Source organism: Homo sapiens, chromosome 4 (genome assembly GCF_000001405.40).
Source record: "Homo sapiens chromosome 4, GRCh38.p14 Primary Assembly".
In the NCBI taxonomy this organism is placed as follows: domain Eukaryota; kingdom Metazoa; phylum Chordata; class Mammalia; order Primates; family Hominidae; genus Homo; species Homo sapiens.
In genome coordinates, this window is record NC_000004.12 from 151,276,924 (window position 1) to 151,298,421 (window position 21,498).

The 21,498-nt window shown below is 40.4% G+C and overlaps 2 protein-coding genes across 5 annotated transcripts in view; one reads left to right on the forward strand and one right to left on the reverse strand.

The window, feature by feature from the left end:
* The window catches only part of SH3D19 (SH3 domain containing 19), a 205,325-nt gene that overhangs the window by 156,643 nt on the left and 27,184 nt on the right, over window positions 1–21,498 (reverse strand). The window lies entirely within an intron of this gene.
* Window positions 238–14,939, forward strand: PRSS48 (serine protease 48). The gene is made up of 5 exons (NM_183375.5): window positions 238–301; window positions 2,873–3,035; window positions 5,225–5,490; window positions 6,194–6,363; window positions 14,195–14,939. The coding sequence occupies exons 1-5, from the start codon at window positions 250–252 to the stop codon at window positions 14,528–14,530; spliced, it is 987 nt and encodes a 328-aa protein (NP_899231.4). The 5' UTR covers window positions 238–249; the 3' UTR covers window positions 14,531–14,939.

The window sequence follows — 21,498 nt, forward strand, 5'->3', positions numbered from 1 at the left end:
CCAGAAACCCTGCTCTCCCAGGACAGCAGGGGGCGCCACAGACCCCAGTTCCTCCCCTGGGTCCTGCAGCTGCACTTCTGAAGTCTGGTCCCTTCAGGATCTGGCAGCGGGTGAAGACCAAAGGAGAGGAGGGGGTGAAGCAGAGGAATCCATCTAGGAGAAGCTAGTTCTGGCAGCTCCCCATTGGCCTCTTCCTGGGAGCCTGAGTCCAGGAAGCAGGAAGCGCTCACTGGCTCTGAGGACAGAGACATGGGCCCTGCTGGCTGTGCCTTCACGCTGCTCCTTCTGCTGGGGATCTCAGGTGAGCGCCAGGGTGGGGTTGAGAAGGCAGAGGCAGAGGATTTTTACTAAAGAGGGCATCACATAGAACAATGTGACACTTCACCCATGGGATGTTAGTTATGAGTAGCACAGCCTGAGAAGGTCCTGAGAGGCTACTATATACCCAGCACCATTCCAATGCTCCCGATTGGAAATAGCAGTACACACACACACCCACAAGATCCCTATCTTCGTGGGACTTATAATCAATGCACATATTAAATGTGTAAATTATAAGGCTTGTTAGAAGGTAATAAGTACTATGAAAGGAAAGGGGCATCTGAAGTACAGGGGCAGGAGTGTTGCAATCTTTAGAAGGGTAGTTAAAGAAGGCCTCACTAAGAAGGAGTCATTTGAGCAGAACTGAAGGGGATAACTAAATTAAGTAAGAGGATCCAGGAAAAGAGCATCTCAAGCAGAGGGAACTGGAAGAGCAAACACTATTCTATGATTTCAGGTATATGCTTGTTCATTTATTTTTCTGGTCCACAGGGATTTAAAGGAAGGGTATACTGGCCAGGCACAGCAGCTCACGCCTGTAATCCCAGCACTTTGGGATGCCAAGGCGGGCAGATCACCTGAGATCAGGAGTTCAAGACCAGCCTGGGCAACATGGTGAAACCCCATCTCTACAAAAAATACAAAAATTAGCCGGGCGTGGTGGCGGGCACCTGTAGTCCCAGCTACTCAATAGACTGAGGCAGGAGAAGTGCTTGAGCCTGGAAAGTGGAGGTTGCAGTAAGCCGAGATAGCGCCACTGCACTCCAGCCTTAGCGACAGAGTAAGACCCCGTCCCCCCAAAAAACAGAAAGGGTATGCTGAGAGAGCAAAAAACTTAACAGGTAGCAAAGAAGAAAGATACACAAATACTGCAAAATGCCAATTCAGTTAAACCAAATAGCACAAAAGTAAACAGCTTGCAACCTCAACCGCATCTGAGGGCATCATTGTATTTATAAACTAACATACTTCATATTCCTGATGGTGACCTTGAATCAAGTAAAAGCTAAATTTGAATCTTCATAGAGCATTTTTTTTTTAAGAGACAGAGTCTCACTCTGTCACCCAGGTTAGAGTGCAGTGGTGCAATCATAGCCCACTGCAACCTCAGACTCCTGGGTTCAAGCAATCCTCCCACTCAGCCTCCCTAGTAGCTGGGACTACAGGTGTGGTTGAACCACACCTGTTGTGTTTGTGGCCCAAAAGAAGAAAAAAAAAACCCTGACTAGTATTTAGGAAGTGATTTGTGAAAAGTAAGAAAAGTCTCTAATATAGCACCTGTCTCCAACATTCCTTTTTCTACTTCTGTGCCTTATCTCTGGTCATCCCTAGTTTGAGAGTCCCATGTGACCTAGGGTTTCCTTCTGCCCTGCCTATCTCACCACATTTTTTTCCTTTTCTTTTCAGACAGGGTCTCACTCTCTCGCCCAGGCTGGAGTGCAGTGGCATGATCTAAACTCACCGCATCCTCCACCTCCCGGGCTCAAGCAATCCTCCTGCTTCAGCCTCCCAAGTAGCTGGGACTACAGGCATGCACCATCATGTCAGGCTAATTTCTTTATATTTTTTGTAGAGACGGTGTTTGGCCATGTTGCCCAGGCTGGTTTTGAACTCCTGGACTTGAGCAATCCACCCACCTCAGCCTCCCAAAGTGCTGGGGTTATAGGCGTGAGTCACTGTGCCCAGTCAATCTTACCACTTTCATTTGTCTATTGGTTCATTTATGTAGTCATGCAAATATTCACTGAGAACCTGTCTGTGTGCTAGCTACCAGCTAGAGCTCACACTTGTATGTAGTGTGCTGTTGTCAGTATCCACCTCTCACTGACCAGGGAACATCCACAGATAAAGCTGTGGCCCAAGTATAGGCTGACCTGCCAAGGCCAGCACCCTGCAGCAGCATCTTGGCCATCTACAACACGTCTTGAGTATACAGGTCACCAGCACACTAGAGAAAGAAGAGAAAGAGAAATGTGGAAATCTTTTTCTTTTTCAATTTTTTTTTTAGAGACCTGGTTTCACTATATTGCCCAGGCCTCAAGCAGTTCTCCCACCTCATCCTCCCAAAGCACCAGGATTACAGGCATGAGCCACTATCCCTGGTTTAAAAAAAAAATTTTAAGTTAAATGATATTCCATGTGTGCTGCTAAAGAAGGCAGGTAAGTATGTTTGTGAAGATTCCCACTAATAGGTAGAAGGCATTTGAAAATTTTGGCCTTTAACACCAATCTGGAAAATTTAAATATAAAGGAAGGTTCTCTGTTCAGTGAATCTAGATATTAGATGTGTTACTATGTGTTAATGATACCCTATTTCTTCCTTAGGTTCTTGCTTACACTCTTTTCCCAAAAAGAAAGAGCTACAATCAGGGGAGTGGTCTCCATTTTGAGCCCAAGACTGCTGGGTGTGGAACCAGAATAGGATGGAGTATGGTGTCTAGGGAGGGTTCAGGTCCTAGGAATAGATGGGAGTTTGGGAATGATGATAAGGTGGGGACCAGAGAAACAGGACTCCTAGGTTTCCACATTTCCCTTTCTTCTCTTTCTCTAGTGTGTGGGCAACCTGTATACTCCAGCCGCGTTGTAGGTGGCCAGGATGCTGCTGCAGGGCGCTGGCCTTGGCAGGTCAGCCTACACTTTGACCACAACTTTATCTGTGGAGGTTCCCTCGTCAGTGAGAGGTTGATACTGACAGCAGCACACTGCATACAACCGTGAGTTCTAGCTGGCAGCTAACACACAGACAGGTTCTCAGTGAATATTTGCATCACTTCATGAATGAACCAAAAGACAAATGAAAGTGGTAAAATAGGCAGGGCGGAAGGAAACCCAGGTCATGTCAGACTATCAAACCCGAAACAACTAGAGACAGGGCATAGAAGTAGAAAAAGGAAAGTTGGAGACAGGCACTATATTAAAGACTTTTCTTATTTTTTGCCAAATCACCTTCTAAATACCAGTCAGGAGATTTTTGTCGTGTTTTTGGGTCATAAACACAATCTGAGCTCTAAGAGCCACTGCTGTGAGAGAAGCAACTTGTCATGTGGTGAGTGTCCCTATGGAGAGGCCCATGTGGAACCCGCATCTCTAGTCAACAGCGAGAAGACCCAAAGCCTACCAACGTGAGTTTGGACACAGATCCTCCCCAGTAAGATGACTGCAGCTCACCTTGATTGCAGCTGCAGCTCACCTTGATTGCAGCCACATGAGAAACCTTGAGTCAATGGTACTCAACTAAGTCACACCTGATTCCTGACCCATAAAAACTATGAGATAAATATTTGTTGTTTTAAGCCACTAAGCTTTATAACTTATTATGCAACAATTGATAACTAATACACAACAGAAATTAAAATTCCAGGACTCTTCAATAACAACACTGAAAGTTCAATGAAAATAAGCCAGGTGTGGCAGCTTGCACCTGTAATCCCAGCTACTCATGAGGCTGAGGTAGAAGGATCACTTGAGCCTAGGAGTTCAAGGCTGCAGTGACCTATGATTGTACCACACATTCCAGCCTGGGCGACAGAGTGAGACCCTGTCTCTAAAAAAAAAATTAAGTTTAAAAAAAAACTCAAAGAAAATAGAGTAATAACTTCAAAATGCTAAAAAAAATTTATTTCCAACTTAGAATTCTACCCATATGCAAACTATCAATCAAATGTGGGATAGAAGTAAAACATTTTCACATACACAAAGCAGCAAAAATGTTACCTCTCATGCACATTTTCTCAAGAAGCCATAGGAGAATCTGCTCCACCAAAATAAAGGGGGAAAAACAGGAAAACACAGGATCCAGACAAAAGGGGAATAAAACACAGAAGAGAATCCCTAAGAAAGTCATAAAGGATAAAGAAAGTGCCAAGATGATGGCTGTGCAGCAGCCCAGATTAGAACAAGAGAGCAGAGGGCTCCAAAAAAAAGATAGTATTGATAGAATGCCTGACAAGTTTGAACAAAATGAGAGGAGATTTACACTTCTGGTGGAGAGCCTGGGGAATGAGACTGGTGATGGGTATAAAGATAAAAACAAAAAACCAAAGTGAGCCCACTTATCAACTCCAGGAGAAGCAAAACGTTTTATAAGAAATGTAATCACCCAATAGGACCCAGTAGTGAACAATGTTTACATAGTCACAAGAACAAACGCATTAAATACTGATCTAACGAAAAGTTATGATAACACTGGCTAGGAGGATGGGTGGAATGGAAGTGGGAGGTGGGGGGTAGACAGCGATGTGTAAGAAAGCTCAATCCTCACCTTCCACACTAGGAACTCAGGATTCTAAAACTGAAAAAGAAAAATCAAGAAACAGCTATATATAGGATTTCTTGAAAACACTTGAAAATTACTAAGAGCTAAAAGAGTTGAAAGTCATTGCCTCTAAATAGTTTGAACTGAGGGTGGTGGGGCAGAGAACTTGTTATTTATTTATTTATTTATTTATTTATTTTGTACATCTTATCAAATTACCTGGCATTTTAACTGTGTATATGTGTAACTGTGGTTATATTTTGCTTTAAAATTTTATTCAGAAATGAAGGTCTAGTGCTCAGAACAGAAATTAGTATGGACAATAAACAGCAATGTCTATTAAGCATACAGGTGATGGCTGAAACCATGGAGAATGGGAGAGGTAAATGAGAGAACCGGAGAGAAAACACAGGGCAAAACTCAAGCCACAAGCCTCTAGGAAGAGACCACAGAAAGAGTGGTCAGGGAAGGACGGGGAGAAAGAGAGGAAAGAAGGAGACAAATCAACCCTAGTTGAAGTTGGAAGCACCATGGTTAATTCCCAGTTGGCTACCCTCCTTTCTTGAGTAGAGACTTAGTGCTACATATAGGCAGCCTGTTCTGACCCAGCTGCAGGCCATAAGCAGGCCTCCTTTCTTTTCCCCATAGGACCTGGACTACTTTTTCATATACTGTGTGGCTAGGATCGATTACAGTAGGTGACTCAAGGAAACGTGTGAAGTACTACGTGTCCAAAATCGTCATCCATCCCAAGTACCAAGATACAACGGCAGACGTCGCCTTGTTGAAACTGTCCTCTCAAGTCACCTTCACTTCTGCCATCCTGCCTATTTGCTTGCCCAGTGTCACAAAGCAGTTGGCAATTCCACCCTTTTGTTGGGTGACCGGATGGGGAAAAGTTAAGGAAAGTTCAGGTGAGAATGGGCAGAGAGAAGGGTTGTTTCATATGTCATCCTCTTGTACTCCAGAACATTCATATTCTAGGCATATCCTTACCATGGAAAATATTTTTCAACAAAACCAGATCAATCTAATGATATTATCTATAAGTTTTTAAATAAAATATCTTTTTTGACATTTATATTTTTATGTTATTTACTCTTGCATCTTGCAGAGTCTAGCTATAGCTGGAAGAGCAGATACTAACAATTTAAACACATAACTACCTCTCTCAAACAGAGGTTAATAAGACTGATTTAAAGTTTGGAGAGCGTCTAGTGTTTTTTAACTGTTTTTCAAGTTTTACGTCAACTCTTTCCCAGGTTGGAGTAGACACAAGACAAGAACTGATCTAGAAGCAAAAAACATGGGAAAGGAAGAAGTTTTAGAATCCTTTAGAATAGTCATACCTTTACTCAATCAGAATTTATCGGAAGTACTCATTATTTAGAACAATGGCTCAATTAAAAAAAAACCTCAAAGAAGCAGAAATAATTTAGAATTACTGAGTTTTAGATTTAAGTGTACCAAAAGATCCACCCATAAGCAAATATGATTGGAAAGGCATTGTAAGCTGCTTTTGGATTCCCATTCAGAGACTTCTGCACATCATGACTGAATGCTGCCCCTGCACTTTTCTAGGTTGCTTTAATCTTTTGTTCCTGTCTTCCTCCACAGATAGAGATTACCATTCTGCCCTTCAGGAAGCAGAAGTACCCATTATTGACCGCCAGGCTTGTGAACAGCTCTACAATCCCATCGGTATCTTCTTGCCAGCACTGGAGCCAGTCATCAAGGAAGACAAGATTTGTGCTGGTGATACTCAAAACATGAAGGATAGTTGCAAGGTCAGGGTTTGCTCTAGAGAATTTTTTTTTAAACATGAGATCTTAATTTGGATCCAGGTTTTCCTATCTGTAAATAACAGTGGATTGGGAGTCAGGAGATGAGGGTTCTAAGAATAACTCTTATGTTACCCTGGACAAATCACTTAACTTCTATCTGTGAAATCAGTTTCTTCAACTATAAGACTATTGATCTAGACCAATACTAACGACTGGTCATTGGACTTTTTTTTTTTTTTTTTTTTTAAATTAGAGACAGAGCCTTGCTCTGTCACCCAGGCTTGAGTACAGTGGCATGATCATAGCTTACTACAGCCTCCAGCTCCTGGGTTCAATCAGTCATCCTCCCACTTCAGCCTCCTGAGTAGCTGGGACTACAAGCTCACACCTCACCAGGCCCACATACTTTTTTCATTTTTTTGTAGAGATGAGGTCTCACTATGTTGCCCAGGCTGATCCCAAATTCCTGGCCTCAAGCAATCCTTCCTCCTTGGGTTGCTAGACTTTTATAGACCTGTATATTTTCATAAGTATATTATGAGGTTGAAGCAGAATTGCCAACTTTTAAATTTTTTCAAGTAAGAACATTTCACTCTATACCTAAAAGATGTCGTTCTATTGTCTCCTGGTCATAACTGATGAAAAATCAGCCATTATTTGCATCGTCATTCCATGGAGTGTAATGTGTTGTTTTGCTCTGGCTGCTTTCAGTATTTTTTCTTTACCTTTGATTGTCAGCAGTTTGAATATGATGTACTAGGTGTGGTTTTCTTTGCATTTATCCTATTTGGGGTTCACTGAGTTTTTGGTTTTTTAAATCTATTCTTTAACATATTTCACCAACACTTGGAAATTTTTCAGTAATGATTTCTTCAAAAACTATTCTGCCTCATTTCTCTCTCCTCCCCTTCTAGATGAAACCATAAACTTGTTAAGTTATACCTTTTGGTATTTTCACACAAGTCCATTTTATTTTTATGTTTTTCTCTCTGTTCTTCAAATTGGATATTTTTAAATTGATCTGTATTGAAGATCACTGCCTCTTTCTGCTGTCATTTACATTTTAAGTCCATCTAGTGAAGTTTTTATTTCAGACATTTTATTTTTTAGTTATAGAATGACCATTTGGTTTTATTCTCTCCTCTCATCCACATATACTTTCTACATCTCTGCCAAGATTTTCTAGCTGTATATTATAAATATTTTCCTTTACATGTGTTGATCACAGTTATAATAGTTGCTTTAAATCCTTATCTGCTAATTCCAAAATCAATCTGAGTTATCTCAGGGATATTCTCCAACAATTGCTTTTTCTCATGAGTAGCATTTTCCAGTTTATCTTGGAAAACGTTTTCCTGTTGTTTTGTTTACTTTAATATCTAATCATTTTGGAATATATCCTGGACAATGTCAATAGCATGGTGTAGGGAGTACAGATTGTTATGCTTCTCTAAAGAATGTTGATTTCCTGTTTCAACGGGAAGTCAACTTGGCTGACCTCAAAATCCAAACTGGATCTCTCCTGTGATAGGCATCAGCAGTTATTTTAGCCTTAGCTGAGCTGCTTGGAGTCTAACCTGCACATGTATGTAATTCAGGGTGTATTCAGAAATTTGAGCAGAGTTTATATGCAGAACTTGGGACTCTCGCTCTGTGGCTCTCTCCTTTCTGGTATATTTCCCTGCACTTTCCAACTGCTAAGGTAGCTCTGAACTCTATCCTCTAATTCCTCAAGTCAGTAAGACTGTGGGTTTCTTTTACCAGCCACTATGCATGATAATGACTGGGGCCTGCTTTAAGGGAAAAGCCACTTTTTAAAAAAAAGAGTGTCATTCCTTTCTTCCAAGGATTGACTCTAGTTTCTGCCTGCTATTGGCCACTCTCCACTGCCTTCAGAGAGTAGCCTTTTATATGCTGTCCACAATTTATAACTGTTACCCGAAGCAGAGTTTGTCAGAGACAAGTCACTCCCATAAGAAATTTTAAAAACAGAAAGAGTCCTAAGAAGAGCGGAATATACTTTCCTCTTAAGTGCCCATGGAACATTCTCCAGAATAAACCATATGCTAAGCTGTAAAACAAGCCTCAATAAAGTTGGAAGGATTAAAATTATACAAATTATATTTTCTAATCACAATGGAATGAAATTAGAAGTAAATAAGAGAGAAATATGGAAATTCACAAATATGTGGAAAGTAACACACTGCTAAATTAGGAAATATTTTGAGATGAATAAAAATGAAGAAACAACATATCAAATCTTATGGAAGCAGCTAAAGCAGTGCTTAGAGAGAAATTTATATCTGTAAATGCCTACGTTAAACAATATATCTCAAATCAGTAACCTAATCTTCCATACAAGACACTGGAAAAAGAAGTTCAAGACCAGCCTGGGCAACATAGTGAGACCTTGTCTCTACTAAAAATTTAAAAAGTTAGCTGGGTATGGTGCACAAGCCTGTAGTCCCAGCTACTTAGGAGACTGGGGCAGGAGGATCCCTTGAGCCCAGAAGTTCACATATGTAGTGAGCTATGATCACACCACTGCACTCCAGCCAGGACAACAGAGCAAGACTCTGTGGCTCTGTCTCTTAAAAATATATATATACATAAATAAAACTAAAAAAAAGGCTGGGTGTGATGGCACATACCTGTAATCGCAGCACTTTGGGAGGATAAGGTAGGAGATTTTTTTTCAGCCCAGGAGTTCGAGACCAGCCTGAGCAATACAGTGAGACCCTATCTCTAAAAAAAAAAAAAAAATCAGCCAGGCATGGTGGTACACTTGTGGTCCCAGCTACTTGGGAGGATTGCTAGAGCCCAGGAGTTCAAGGCTGCAGTGAGCTATATTTGCACCACTGTGCTCCAGGCTGGGTGACACAGTGAGACCCTGTCTTAAAGAAAAAAAAAAAAAAAAAAAACAACTAAACCTAAAGAAAATACAAAGAAGGAAATAAGGGATATAGTGGAAATTACTGAAATAGAGAACAGAAAGACAATAGAGAAAATAAACAAAAGCAAAAGTTGGTTTTTAAAAAGATCAATAAAATTGAAAAAAAACTTTAGCTAAACTGAGCAAGAAAAAAAAAAGACTGAAATTACTAAAGTTAAAAATAAAACTGGGACATTACTACCAACCTTACAGAAATAAAAAGAATTTGTAACACACTACTATGAATAACAGTATGCCAAAAAATTAGATAACTAAGATGATATGGACAAATTCCTAGAAACACACAAACTACCATAACTTACCTAAGAAGAAATAGATGGTCTGAATAAACCTAATAAAAAGTAAAGAGATTGCATTTGTGATTAAAAAAAAAAAAAAAACTACGAAGAAATAAAAGACCAGGTCCAGATAGAATTCATTGATGAATTCTACCAAACATTTAAATAATTAATCCCAATTCTGGCCACAGGCAGTGGCTCATACCTGTAACCCCAGTACTTTAGGAGGCCAAGGCGGACAGGTCAATTGAGGCCAGGAGTTCGAGACGAGCCTAGCAAATGTGGCAAAACCCCATCTCTACAAAAAATACAAAAATTAGCCAGGCATGGTGGCATGTGCCTGTATTCCCAGCTACTCGGGAGGCTGAGGCATGAGAATCACTTGAATCTGGGAGGTAGAGGTTACAGTGAGCCGAGATCGCGCCACTGCACTCCAGCCTGGGTGACAGAGTGAGATTCTGTCTCAAAAATAATAATAATAATAATAATAATAATAGTAATTAATACCAATTCTACACAAGTTCTTTTGAAAAATAAAAGAGGGGACTGGGCACAGTGGCTCACACCTGTAATCCCAGCACTTTGGGAGGCCGAGGCAGGCAGATCACCTGATGTCAGGAGTTTGGGACCAGCCTGGCCTACATGGTAAATCCTTGTCTCTATTAAAAATACAAAAATTAGCTGGGTGTGGTGGCTCATGCCTGTAATCCCAGCTACTGAGGAGGCTGAGGGAGGAGAATCACTTGAACCCGGGAGGCAGAGGTTTCAGTAAGTCAAGATCATGCCACTGTACTCCAGCCTCGGTTACAGAGCAAGACTCTGTCTCCAAAAAAAAAAAAAAAAAAAAGAGGGAACACTTCCCAACTCATTCGAGATCAGTATTACTGAGACCAAAACCTGACAAAGGCATCACAAGGAAGCTATAGACCAGTATCTTTTATGAACAGAGGTGTAAAAATCCTCAATGAACCAAATCCAACAACATATAAAAAGGACTATATATACCGGAATGCCGATTTCATGTTTCAACAGGAAGTCAAGTTGGCTGACCTCAAAATCCAAACTGGGGGTAATTACAAATGGGTATGTGGGTTCTTTTTAGGATGTGGTGACTCAAGCCTTGTAATCCCAGCACTTTGAGAGGCCAAGACGGGAGGATCACTTGAGGTCAGGAGTTCAAGACTAGACTGGGCAACATAGTGAGACCTCGTTTCTACAAAATATTTTAAATATTAGCCACCTGTAGTCTCAGCTACTCGGTAGGCTGCGGTGGGATGATCACTTGAGACCGGGAGGTCGAGGCCACAGTGAGCAGTGTTTGTGCCACCACATTCCAGCCTGGGAGACAAAGTGAGACCCCTCTCTCTTTTTTTATTTTTCAAAAAATAAAAAATAAAAAGGATATACCATAAACAACTGGGATTTATCCCAGGAAACTTAGGTTGGTTTAAAATCCAGAAATCAATCAATGTTAATATACCATGTTCTTAGAATAAAGAGCAAAAACCATATGATCATGTCAATAAATATGGAAAAAAATTTGACAAAAATCCAACAACGCTTCACGTTAAAAAAAAAACAAAACACTCAACAATGAGATGAGTGGAGTTTTTCAACTCGATCAAGTGCAACTACAAAAAAACCCACAGCTAAAATACTTCGTGGTAAAATACTATATGCTTTTGCCATAAGGTCAGGAAAGAGACAAGGATGTCTATTCTTGTCATTTCTATGCAACACTGTACTGGAGGTTCTAGCCAGAATTAATAAGCAAGAGACAAATAAAAAGACATCCAGATTGCAAAGAAACAGTAAAACTATCTCTAGTCACAGATGACATGATTTTATAAATAGAAAATCTAAAGGAATGCCACCCCCAAAAAATTAGAACTAATAAACACATTCAGCAAAACTGAAGGATATAGGGACAATATACTAAAAGCAACTGTAGGCTGGGGGCAGTGGCTCAGGCCTGTAATCTCAGCACTTTGGGAGGCCAAGGCAGGTGGATTCCTTGAGTTCAGGAGTTCGAGACCAGCCTGACCAACATGGTGAAACCTCGTCTCTACTAAAAATACAAAAACTTGCTGGGCGTAGTGAGCTGAGATCTCGCCACTGCACTCCAGCCTGGGCGGGGCAACGAAGCGAGACTCTGTCTTAAAAAAAAAAGAAAAAAGAAAAAAGCAACTGTATTTCCATGCAGTTGCAATGAATAATCTAAGGAAACATTTAAGAAAACAATATTCCATTTATAATAGTTTTAAAAAGAATAAAATAGGAATAAAGTTAATATTGCTTAAATTGCAGTATTCTCCAAATGGATCTACAGATTCAATGTAATCCCTATGAAAACCCAGCTGGTTTCTTTGCAGAAATTGGCAAGCTGATCCTAAACTGCATATGGAAATTCAAGGGGCCCAAAACAATCTTGAAAAACAAGAAACAAGTTGAAGGACTCACATTTTTCATATTTCAAAACTAACAGTAATCAAGCCAGTGTGGTACTAGCATAAGGAGAGACATCTATAGATCAATGAAATAGGATTGAGTGTACAGAAATAAACCCTTATATTTATGGTCAATTATTTTTAAACATTGGTATTGAATCAGTTCAATGAACAAATAATAGTCATTTCAACAAATGATGCTGGGACAAGTAGACAACCACATGCAAAAGAATGAACTTGGACCCTGACCTCGCCATATAACAAATTAACTCAAAATGGATCTAAGACCTAAATATAAGAGCTAAACTATAGCACCTTTAGGAAAAAACATATAGGTAGGTCTTTGTGACCTTGATTAGGCAACATTTTCTTAGATATGTTATCAAAAGCATAAGCAGCAACAAAAAAAGTAGATTAGAGTTCTTCAAAATTCAGAACTTTTATGCTTCAATGGACACCATCAACAAAGTAAAAAGGTAGCCTATGAAACGGAAGAAAATATTTGCAAATCATATATGTAAGGGATCTGTATCTAGAAAAAAGAACACTTGTAACTCGATCATAAAAAGAGCACAGTTTTTAAAAGAGCAAAGCATCTGAATAGATATTTTTCTAAAGATATACAAATGTCCAACTGGTATAAAGATATGCAAATGTAGAGAAATTGGAGCCTTCTAACACTGTTGGTGGTAATATAAAATGGTGCAGCCTCTTTGAAAAACTGTTTGGCAGTTCCTCACAGGTTAAACATAGAATTACCATATGACCCAGAAATTCCACTCCTAGGTATATGACCAAGAAAGATAAAAATATGTCCATACAAAAACTTGCACGTGAGCTGGGCACAGTGGCTTCCACCTGTAATCTCAACTACTCAGAAGGCTGTGGCAGAAGGATCGCTTCAGCCCAAGAGTTCAAGACCAGCCTGGGCAAAACAGGGAGACCCCATCTCTAAATAAACAAAGAAAAAACCGGTACACAAGTGTTCACAGCAGCATGATTATTATTTTAGAAACAGGGTCTTGCTCTGTCACCCAGGTTGAAGTGCAGTGGTAGGATCATAGTTCATTGTAAACATGGCTCAAGCAATACTTCTGCCTCAGCTTCCCGAGTGGTTGGGATGACAGGCATATGCCACCATAGCAGCTATTTACTTATTTATTTGTTTTGAAGAGACAGGGTTCCACTAGGTTGCCCAGGTTGGTCTCAAATGCCTGGCCTGATCCTCCTGCCTTGGCCTCTCAAGGCACTAGGATTACAGACACGAACCATCATGCTGGGCCATAGAAGCATTATTTATAATATAATAGCCCAAATAATGGAAGCAATCACAATGTCCATTAGGTGATGAATGCAGAAACACCAAGTGGTACATCCATACAATGGAATATTATTCAGCCCTAAAAGGAGTGGAGTACTGATACAACATGAAGGAACCTTGAAAAGAATGTGCTAACTGAAACATGCCAGACACAAAAGGTCAGATATTACATGATTCCATTTATATGAAATGTCTAAAATAGGCAAATCCATAGAGGCAGAGAGTGGACTACTGGTTGGCCTAGCTGGGAGGGTTGGGAAGAAATGGGGATAATTACAAATGGGTATGAGGTTTCTTTTTAGGGTGATAAAAATGTTCTAAAATGGGTTGTGGTGATGGTTGTACAACACTGTAAATATACTAAAAACCACTGAATTGTGTAGTATGTGAATTATATGACAGTAAAGCTGTTACAAAAAAGAAAGAGAACAAGACTAGAAGACTACTACCAACAACTATCACTATCATTTTAGGTAAGAATGGATTACTTAACACTAAACAAGAGCAGTAAGAACAGGAAATTAAGGCAGTTCATTCATTTGAATAAATTTATCTTTAGTGAAAAAATCATCTCATTAGTTTTATTTCTCTTTTTATCACAGACAAATATTTTGAAATTACTAATATATTTCACTAAGGTCTCTGACAATTTCAATTCTATGATTCTAAAATTCCTGTGATATCTCCCTAAAGCAGTGATTAGTCCAGCCCCCTGCAGGGTTCCACAGCTCCATGGGTCTCATGGCCCAGTTTTAAAGAATTCTCCACCCCTTATTACTACTCTCTTCTTTATGCCTCTTTTCACTATGCTCATTACCTTTCATTTCTTCCTTAGGGTGATTCTGGAGGGCCTCTGTCGTGTCACATTGATGGTGTATGGATCCAGACAGGAGTAGTAAGCTGGGGATTAGAATGTGGTAAATCTCTTCCTGGAGTCTACACCAATGTAATCTACTACCAAAAATGGATTAATGCCACTATTTCAAGAGCCAACAATCTAGACTTCTCTGACTTCTTGTTCCCTATTGTCCTACTCTCTCTGGCTCTCCTGCGTCCCTCCTGTGCCTTTGGACCTAACACTATACACAGAGTAGGCACTGTAGCTGAAGCTGTTGCTTGCATACAGGGCTGGGAAGAGAATGCATGGAGATTTAGTCCCAGGGGCAGATAACTCACAGGAGAGCCACTGCTAACCCTGGGTGACTTTATTTACAATTTGAAATGATTTTGTTTTTAAGGTTTTTGATTTTGGAAGTTTTGGGGTTGGAATGTGAAGAGTTAAGAAATAAAACTGTCACTTCTGTACATTCTTTGTCCTTGACTAATGCATCTTCCAAGACAGGAAGGATGTCCTCTATGAATAAGCATTTGTAGACACAAATTAAATAGCTATAAGACTAATGTGTCTTCCAAGGCAGGAAGATGTCCTCTATGAATAAGTATTTGTAGACACAAATTAAATAGCTACTACAGAGGCAGGCAAGTATCTGTGATGACACAGGAAAATATAATAAGGGTCTACCTCGTGCCCATGGGTTGCATCATGGGATTTTAGTCTATTATTTCTCACCTTCTCTATTATCTTTAACTTCCCTTCTAACCCTCCCTTTACTCCTCAACTGTAACAAGAGGGCTAATAAAAAATTCATATAAAGCCAATTCCAAGCACACTGCCTACAGATTAGCTAGCCCTGTTCCATAAGGAGCAGTAAAAAAAGAAGAAAAAAAAAGAGATGCAAACATGGGTCAGGCATGTTGGCTCACACCTGTAATCCCAACACTTTGGGAGGCCAAGGATCACTTGTGGCCAGGGGATGAAGACCAGCCTGGGCAACACAGCCCCTGTCTCTACAAAAGAAATAAGAAATTAGCCAAGAATGGTGGCATGTGCCTGTGGTCTCAGCTACTTGGGAAGCTGTGGTGGAAGGATAGCTTGAGACCAGGAGTTCGAGGCTGCAGTGAGCTATGATCACATCACTGCACTCCAGACTGGGCAACAGAGCAAGACCCTGTCTTTAAAAAAAAAAAAGGAAAAGAAAAGAAGGAAGGAAATGCATATATGTAGTTCAGCCCTATATTTTTCTTAAGTTTTTACTTTTTAAAATACCAGTGTGACCTACTACGAACAATGGATTAATGCTATGATCTCAAGAGCTGAGGTCTTGGGTTTCAACAATCTGGACCTATCTAAGTGGTTTAACTTCACATCTATAAAAAAACACTTTAAATATTTGGAACAAAGGACATTATAGAAAAGAGCATTATATCCCATGCTTCCTTTGTTAAACAATCACACAACCTATCCTATTCCCTTCTATACCTAGGCTGCCAGAAACTCAGAGCTAACTTTTGAACTCAATTACAATCATTATCTTCACCACAGATTTTCTGGTATAATTCCATTCATACTTCTTTAAGTCATCCTTTATTTCTCATTTAAATGAACTTAAGTTTTATTGCATCTGTGTCTTTTACAAGATACGGATCCTTTTATAAAAAAAACTTTGTTTCTGAAAGTTGACTTAAAGTAAGTACATTTTGGCTTACTTTAAGCTTTAAGCTACAGGTGGCTCACACCTGTAATCCCAGCACTTTGGGAGGCCAAGGAGGGTGGATCACTTAAGGTCAGGAGTTCAAGACCAGCCTGACCAACATGGTGAAACCCTGTCTCTACCAAAAATACAAAAATTAGCCAGGCATGGTGGCGGGTGCCTGTAATCCCAGCTACTCAGGAGGCTGAGGCAGGAGAATCACTTGAACTCAGGAGTTGGAGGTTGCAGTGAGCCAAGATCCCATCACTGCACTCCAGCCTGGGCGAGAGAGCCAGACTCTGTCTCAAAATAAAATAAAATAAAATATAAAGTACATTTAATGGAAATACATTTAATAGAAAATAAGGGTAGACTGGCCGGGTGTGGTGGCTCACGCCTGTAATCCCAGCACTTTGGGAGGCCGAGGCGGGCAGATCACGAGGTCAGGAGATCAAGACCATCCTGGCTAACACGGTGAAACCCCGTCTCTACTAAAAATACAAAAAAAAATTAGCCGGGCATGGTGGCGGGCACCTGTAGTCCCAGCTACTCGGGAGGCTGAGGCAGGAGAATGGCGTGAACCTGGGAGACGGAGCTTGCTGTGAGCCGAGATTGCGCCACTGCACTCCAGCCTGGGCGACAGAGCAAGACTCCGTCTCCAAAAAAAAAAAAAGTAAGGGTAGATTTGGAAACTTAAAATTCTTGCTAACCCTTATTAACCCCACCTGGGTTAGTAGCATCTGGATTGCCATTACAGCCTCCTAACTAGCATTTCCACATCCTTTCTTATGCCTTCCATTTACACCCAACTCCATTTATTCTCCTCCACAGCATTCAGATTAGTGTTTTAAAAATAAAAGTACTGTTTATACTGCTCCTCTTTTCCCCCTGCTTATAGCACTTCAAAGGCATCCTCCTGCTGCTCACAGAGTAAGGACAAAATCCCTTATTGTGGCCTACAAAGTCCGGCCAATCTGACCCCAGCCTGTCTCTTCAGCCTCATTTGGCTCACTTTCCAGCCTATTCTCTATGCTTAAACTTCTTCAAACATTCTAAGCACCCTTTCAGCACCAGACTTCTGCATCTACTATTCCCTCTCCCCTGCTGCCCTTGTCTAGTTAATTCTTACTGTGCCTTCAGATCTCAATTTACCCTTCACTTCCTCAAGGAAGCTATCCCCATCTCTCCTAACCAGGACAGGTCCTCCTAATTCTCATAGCACTATGAAGCCCTCCTTTATAGAACTCAACATAGCTATAATTGAACATTCATTTATGTAGTTGTCTAATTAACATATGTCTATCTTATCAAACTGTAAGTCCACGTAAGAATTTTTGTTTTTATCCACCACTGTATCCTAGTCTCAATAATTTGTTGAAAAAAATCAATGAGTAATATTCAGCTTGTCTCCCTAACTGTACTGTGAGAACCTGGATATTGTTTATGGAGGTAGCCCAGAACCTGACACAATGTTTCGCACAAAGTAGGTTTTCAAATATCAGTTAAATACAAGTTAGTTTGAAATTGGAAGTAACTGTTCCACAGCATAGGATCTGGCAACATTTTTCTCATTAACAAGGAGTTGAAACTTAAAGGAAGGACCAGGCCATGCAACTGCAAAAAAAGGAATATCAAGAGAATAAGACATGATCTCACTATCTTCATCACTACTGGGTGGATGCACCAAGGGTAGGCACCTAACACAACAGTTGCCCAGGGGGTGGTGGGGCAGTTAGCCCAGCATGTTACCCAACAGATGCACTCAGTGTTGGACAACACAACAGACCCTCCTCTGGAGAAATCCAAATGTCAGTCATACAGTATGTCTACGTGCATTCAACAGTATTAAGTGCCCACCATGTACCAGGTACCATTCCAGGCATGGAGGACACTACAGTAAATATAACAAATCAAGCTGGGCTTCAAGTAGTTTACATTGCAGTGGAAGACAGACAATAACCAAATGCAAAATAAATTCATATTATAATAATGTCATGTACAAGAAAGCCTGATAATAAAATAAGAGAAGCAGATAAGAGTATCAGGATGGGAAATCCCACCTTAGGGTGGTCAGGGAAGGTTCTCTGAGGAGGTGACATTTGATAGAGGCCTAAACAGAGGAGGGAAGCAAGGACTAAAAAAGGAGAGAAGGTGCGGTCGAGTAAACAGCGAGTACAAAGGTTCTGAGTTTAGGTGGGTGTGAGGAAGAACAGGCCGGTCAATGTGGCTGGGACACTGTGAGCAAAGGTGGAAAGGTGTATGAACTGAGACCAGAAAGAAAGGGAGCAGGGGCCAGGTCCTGCAGAAGCTACTAGGCCTCAGTAAGGACTCTGAATTTCATTCTCAGTGACATGAGAAGCCACTGGTGAAGTGAGAGCAAGGGAATGATGAAAGAACAGAAGAGTAGAGAATCCCACACCACTGCTCATGGGAATATGCAGAGGCCAGGAGGGGGCCAGGATGGCAAAGAGGGCAGTCAGATGGTAGCAGAGTCAGAACAAAAAGCAGAGAGAAAGAATCAGACACCAAGGCACTGAAGTAGAGCTGAGTGAAACAAGGACTGCTGTATCCTGAATATCAGTGAGTTTCCACATGAGGCTATGTGCTGTCTTACCGTCCCCTATTCTTTATCTGCACTGTCCTTAGAGTAAGGCCCTATTTACCAAGTGACTTGAGAAAGGTACAGCCCAAGTTTCTTACCTTTGACTTCGGAATTCATCACCAAAACAGCTAACTCACTTCCTGTTTGTTTTCTTCTTATTCAGACAAGTGTTCTGATTTCTTCATTCCATTTCCACCTCAAGGCTTTATTTCCTCTGTCCTCTACACCTGGAATACCTTTCTTTTGATACCTCAACCCACTTATTTCTGCCCACTGATTAGAAAAGGAGGCAGTGAATATCTAAAAAACACATTAAAAGAACCCTAGAAAACGGTTTTTAGGCCGGGTGCAGTGGCTTACGCCTATAATCCCAGCACTTTGGGAGGCTGAGGCGGGCGGATCACGAGGTCAGGAGATCAAGACCATCCTGGCCAACATGGTGAAACCCTGTCTCTACTAAAACACAAGAATTTAGCCAGGCATGATGGCATGAGCCTGTAGTCCCAGCTACTCAGGAGGCTGAGGCAGGGGAATCACTTGAACCCAGGAGGCGGAGGTTGCAGTGAGCTGAGATCGTACCACTGCACTCCAGCCTGGCGACAGAGCAAGGCTCCGTCTCAAAAAAAAAAAAAGAAAGAAAGAAAGAAAGAAAGAAAATCGTTTTTAAGAGTAATAGGGAAAAAAAGAGAATTTTAAAAAAATTAACAGGGAATAGGTAAACTGTATGGTATGCGATTTATAACTCATTGAAGCTATTTTTAAAACATGAACAGGGAGTTTCTCTCCTGCTTCAAGTATACAAATAATTCCTCATTTGTAATATATTTAGGGCTCTTCACAGATCTAAACGATTTCTGTGATTCTATTTCAAAGAAAAGCTCAACCTACCTATGTACATTTTGTTTCAATTGCTAAGACATAAAATGAAAAGTTCAACCCCAAACATGAGATACAGCACCTGGTAACACATTACTGGAGGGAAAAAGATCAATAAACATTTGTGTGGGGGAGGGAGCCACTCGGAGTTGGCAGGCGGCCACCCAGTGTACACTTAAGAGCCTGTCCCCTGCAGAAAATAAATAAATAAATAAACACACAATAAACATATGCATTCACAAAACAAACTTATTATTTACTGGTAACTAATTTAATCAGTAACACCACAAATGAGGAGGAAATAATAGGGACACCTTTACTTTTATGGGGCTCAATACAGCATTTCTGCCTTAAAAATGAATATAAATTTGCAGAATATTTTATTCTGTGGAATATCTGATTTTAATATGCTTCAATTTTCATTTCACACATCTTGAGAAATTTTAATTAAGGTGAGATTTTAACAAATAAAGGTTGCTAAAAATCCTATGAGCAATTTTTTTCCTAAATGTGGGGAAGATTTGTAAATTTAGTTATTTCCAGATCTTTTTCAATAGACTAGTTCAAATAATGACCCATTTTTTCCCTATATTCCACTAAACTGTAATGTTACCCCAAAAATGTGAGGACATTACAGAAAAAGGATTCAGAATAATAAAATGTCAAAGCTATATTTTGATATTATTTCGACAGTGAATGTTTTCTTTTCAAATGTTTCACTTCATTCTTCCTGCCCAACTGTGTATAGTCTATCCACACACTAGAAATCAGCTCCCTGAGAACTTTTTAAAATATATTGCTTCAGGAAAAGGAGGAAGGGGAGGAGTCATTCAAAATAATCAGAAATCAGATTAATGTATTCTCGGCTATTAATAATTGAGAAGAAACATTCACTGTCTGAAGAATAAAAAAGATAGAAATCTTTAATGGAAATTCTATTTGCCTTCCAGGATAATTATCCTCAACCAACCTAAATTCTCTCCACTGTCTACTACTATGTAAGCCTTCACTTTCCATCTCCATGTAGTTGGATAAAGTAATTGGAATCTAGTCCTGTGGCACTTTGTGTGCCATTCTTATGACACTTAGCCCACATAGCCTTGTGCTATAATTATCTCTGAACACCAAGGAGTGAAAAGAATAGGATAGGATGAGGGCCTATGGCTCCAGAATGCTAATGCTACTCTGCTTTTAGTGAAAATTAGTGAGAAGAAGACAAATCTAGAGACAGTTGGGTAGTAGAAGCAAGATAACATATTGTTTGGATTTGGATGTAATTTAATGAATTGGATGTAGATGGTAGAAGGAAAAAATAAAGACAAAGAGAAATCAAGAATGACCATAGGTTACTGGCCTGAGAATGTTGTACCATTAAATAAAATGAGGAAGGCTAGAGGAGGAATAGATTTGCCAAGCAGAGAAATCAAATGGTAGGCTAAACAATAGCCCCTCTAAGGACGTCCATGTTCTAATCCCCAGAATCTGTGAATATGTTACTACACGTAGTAAAGGGGATTTTGCACATATGATTAAGTATCCTGAGATGGGGACATCATCTGTATTATCTGGTGGGACCAATGTAATCAATCACATGGCTTCTTATAAGAGTAAGATAGGAGGATCAGGGCCAGGTATACTAATGAGAGTATGCAGAAGACAGAAGGATGGAAGCAGAAAGAAGAGAGGAATGAAGATGCTACACTGTTGGCTTTGAAGATAGAGCAAGGGGCCATGAGCCAGGCAATACAGGTGGCCACTAGGAGCTAGAAAAGGCAAAAACAGGATTCTCCCCTAGAGTCTACAGACGGAATGCAGTCCTGCCAGCACCTTGATTTTAGCTCAGTGAAATTGATTTCAGACTTTAGACCTCCAGAATTACAGAATAATAAATTTTTTTTTTTTTTTTTTTTTTTTGAGACGGAGTCTCGCTCTGTCACCAGGCTGGAGTGTAGCTCGGCACACTGCAACCTCCGCCTCCCAGGTTCAAGAGATTCTCCTGTCTCAGCCTCCTGAGTAGCTGGGACTACAGGCACCCGCCGCCATGCCCAGCTAATTTTTGTATTTTTAGTAAAGAGGAAGTTTCACCATGTTGGCTAGGATGGTCTCAATCTCCTGATCTCGTGATCCTCC

Excerpts from the sequence above, each read along its gene's own strand:
- PRSS48 (NM_183375.5), top strand. The coding sequence starts at position 250 with ATGGGCCCTGCTGGCTGTGCCTTCACGCTGCTCCTTCTGCTGGGGATC. Across the intron at positions 302-2,872 it reads CCTTCTGCTGGGGATCTCAG|TGTGTGGGCAACCTGTATAC; the intron begins GTGAGCGCCAGG and ends CTCTTTCTCTAG. Across the intron at positions 5,491-6,193 it reads AAAAGTTAAGGAAAGTTCAG|ATAGAGATTACCATTCTGCC; the intron begins GTGAGAATGGGC and ends CTTCCTCCACAG.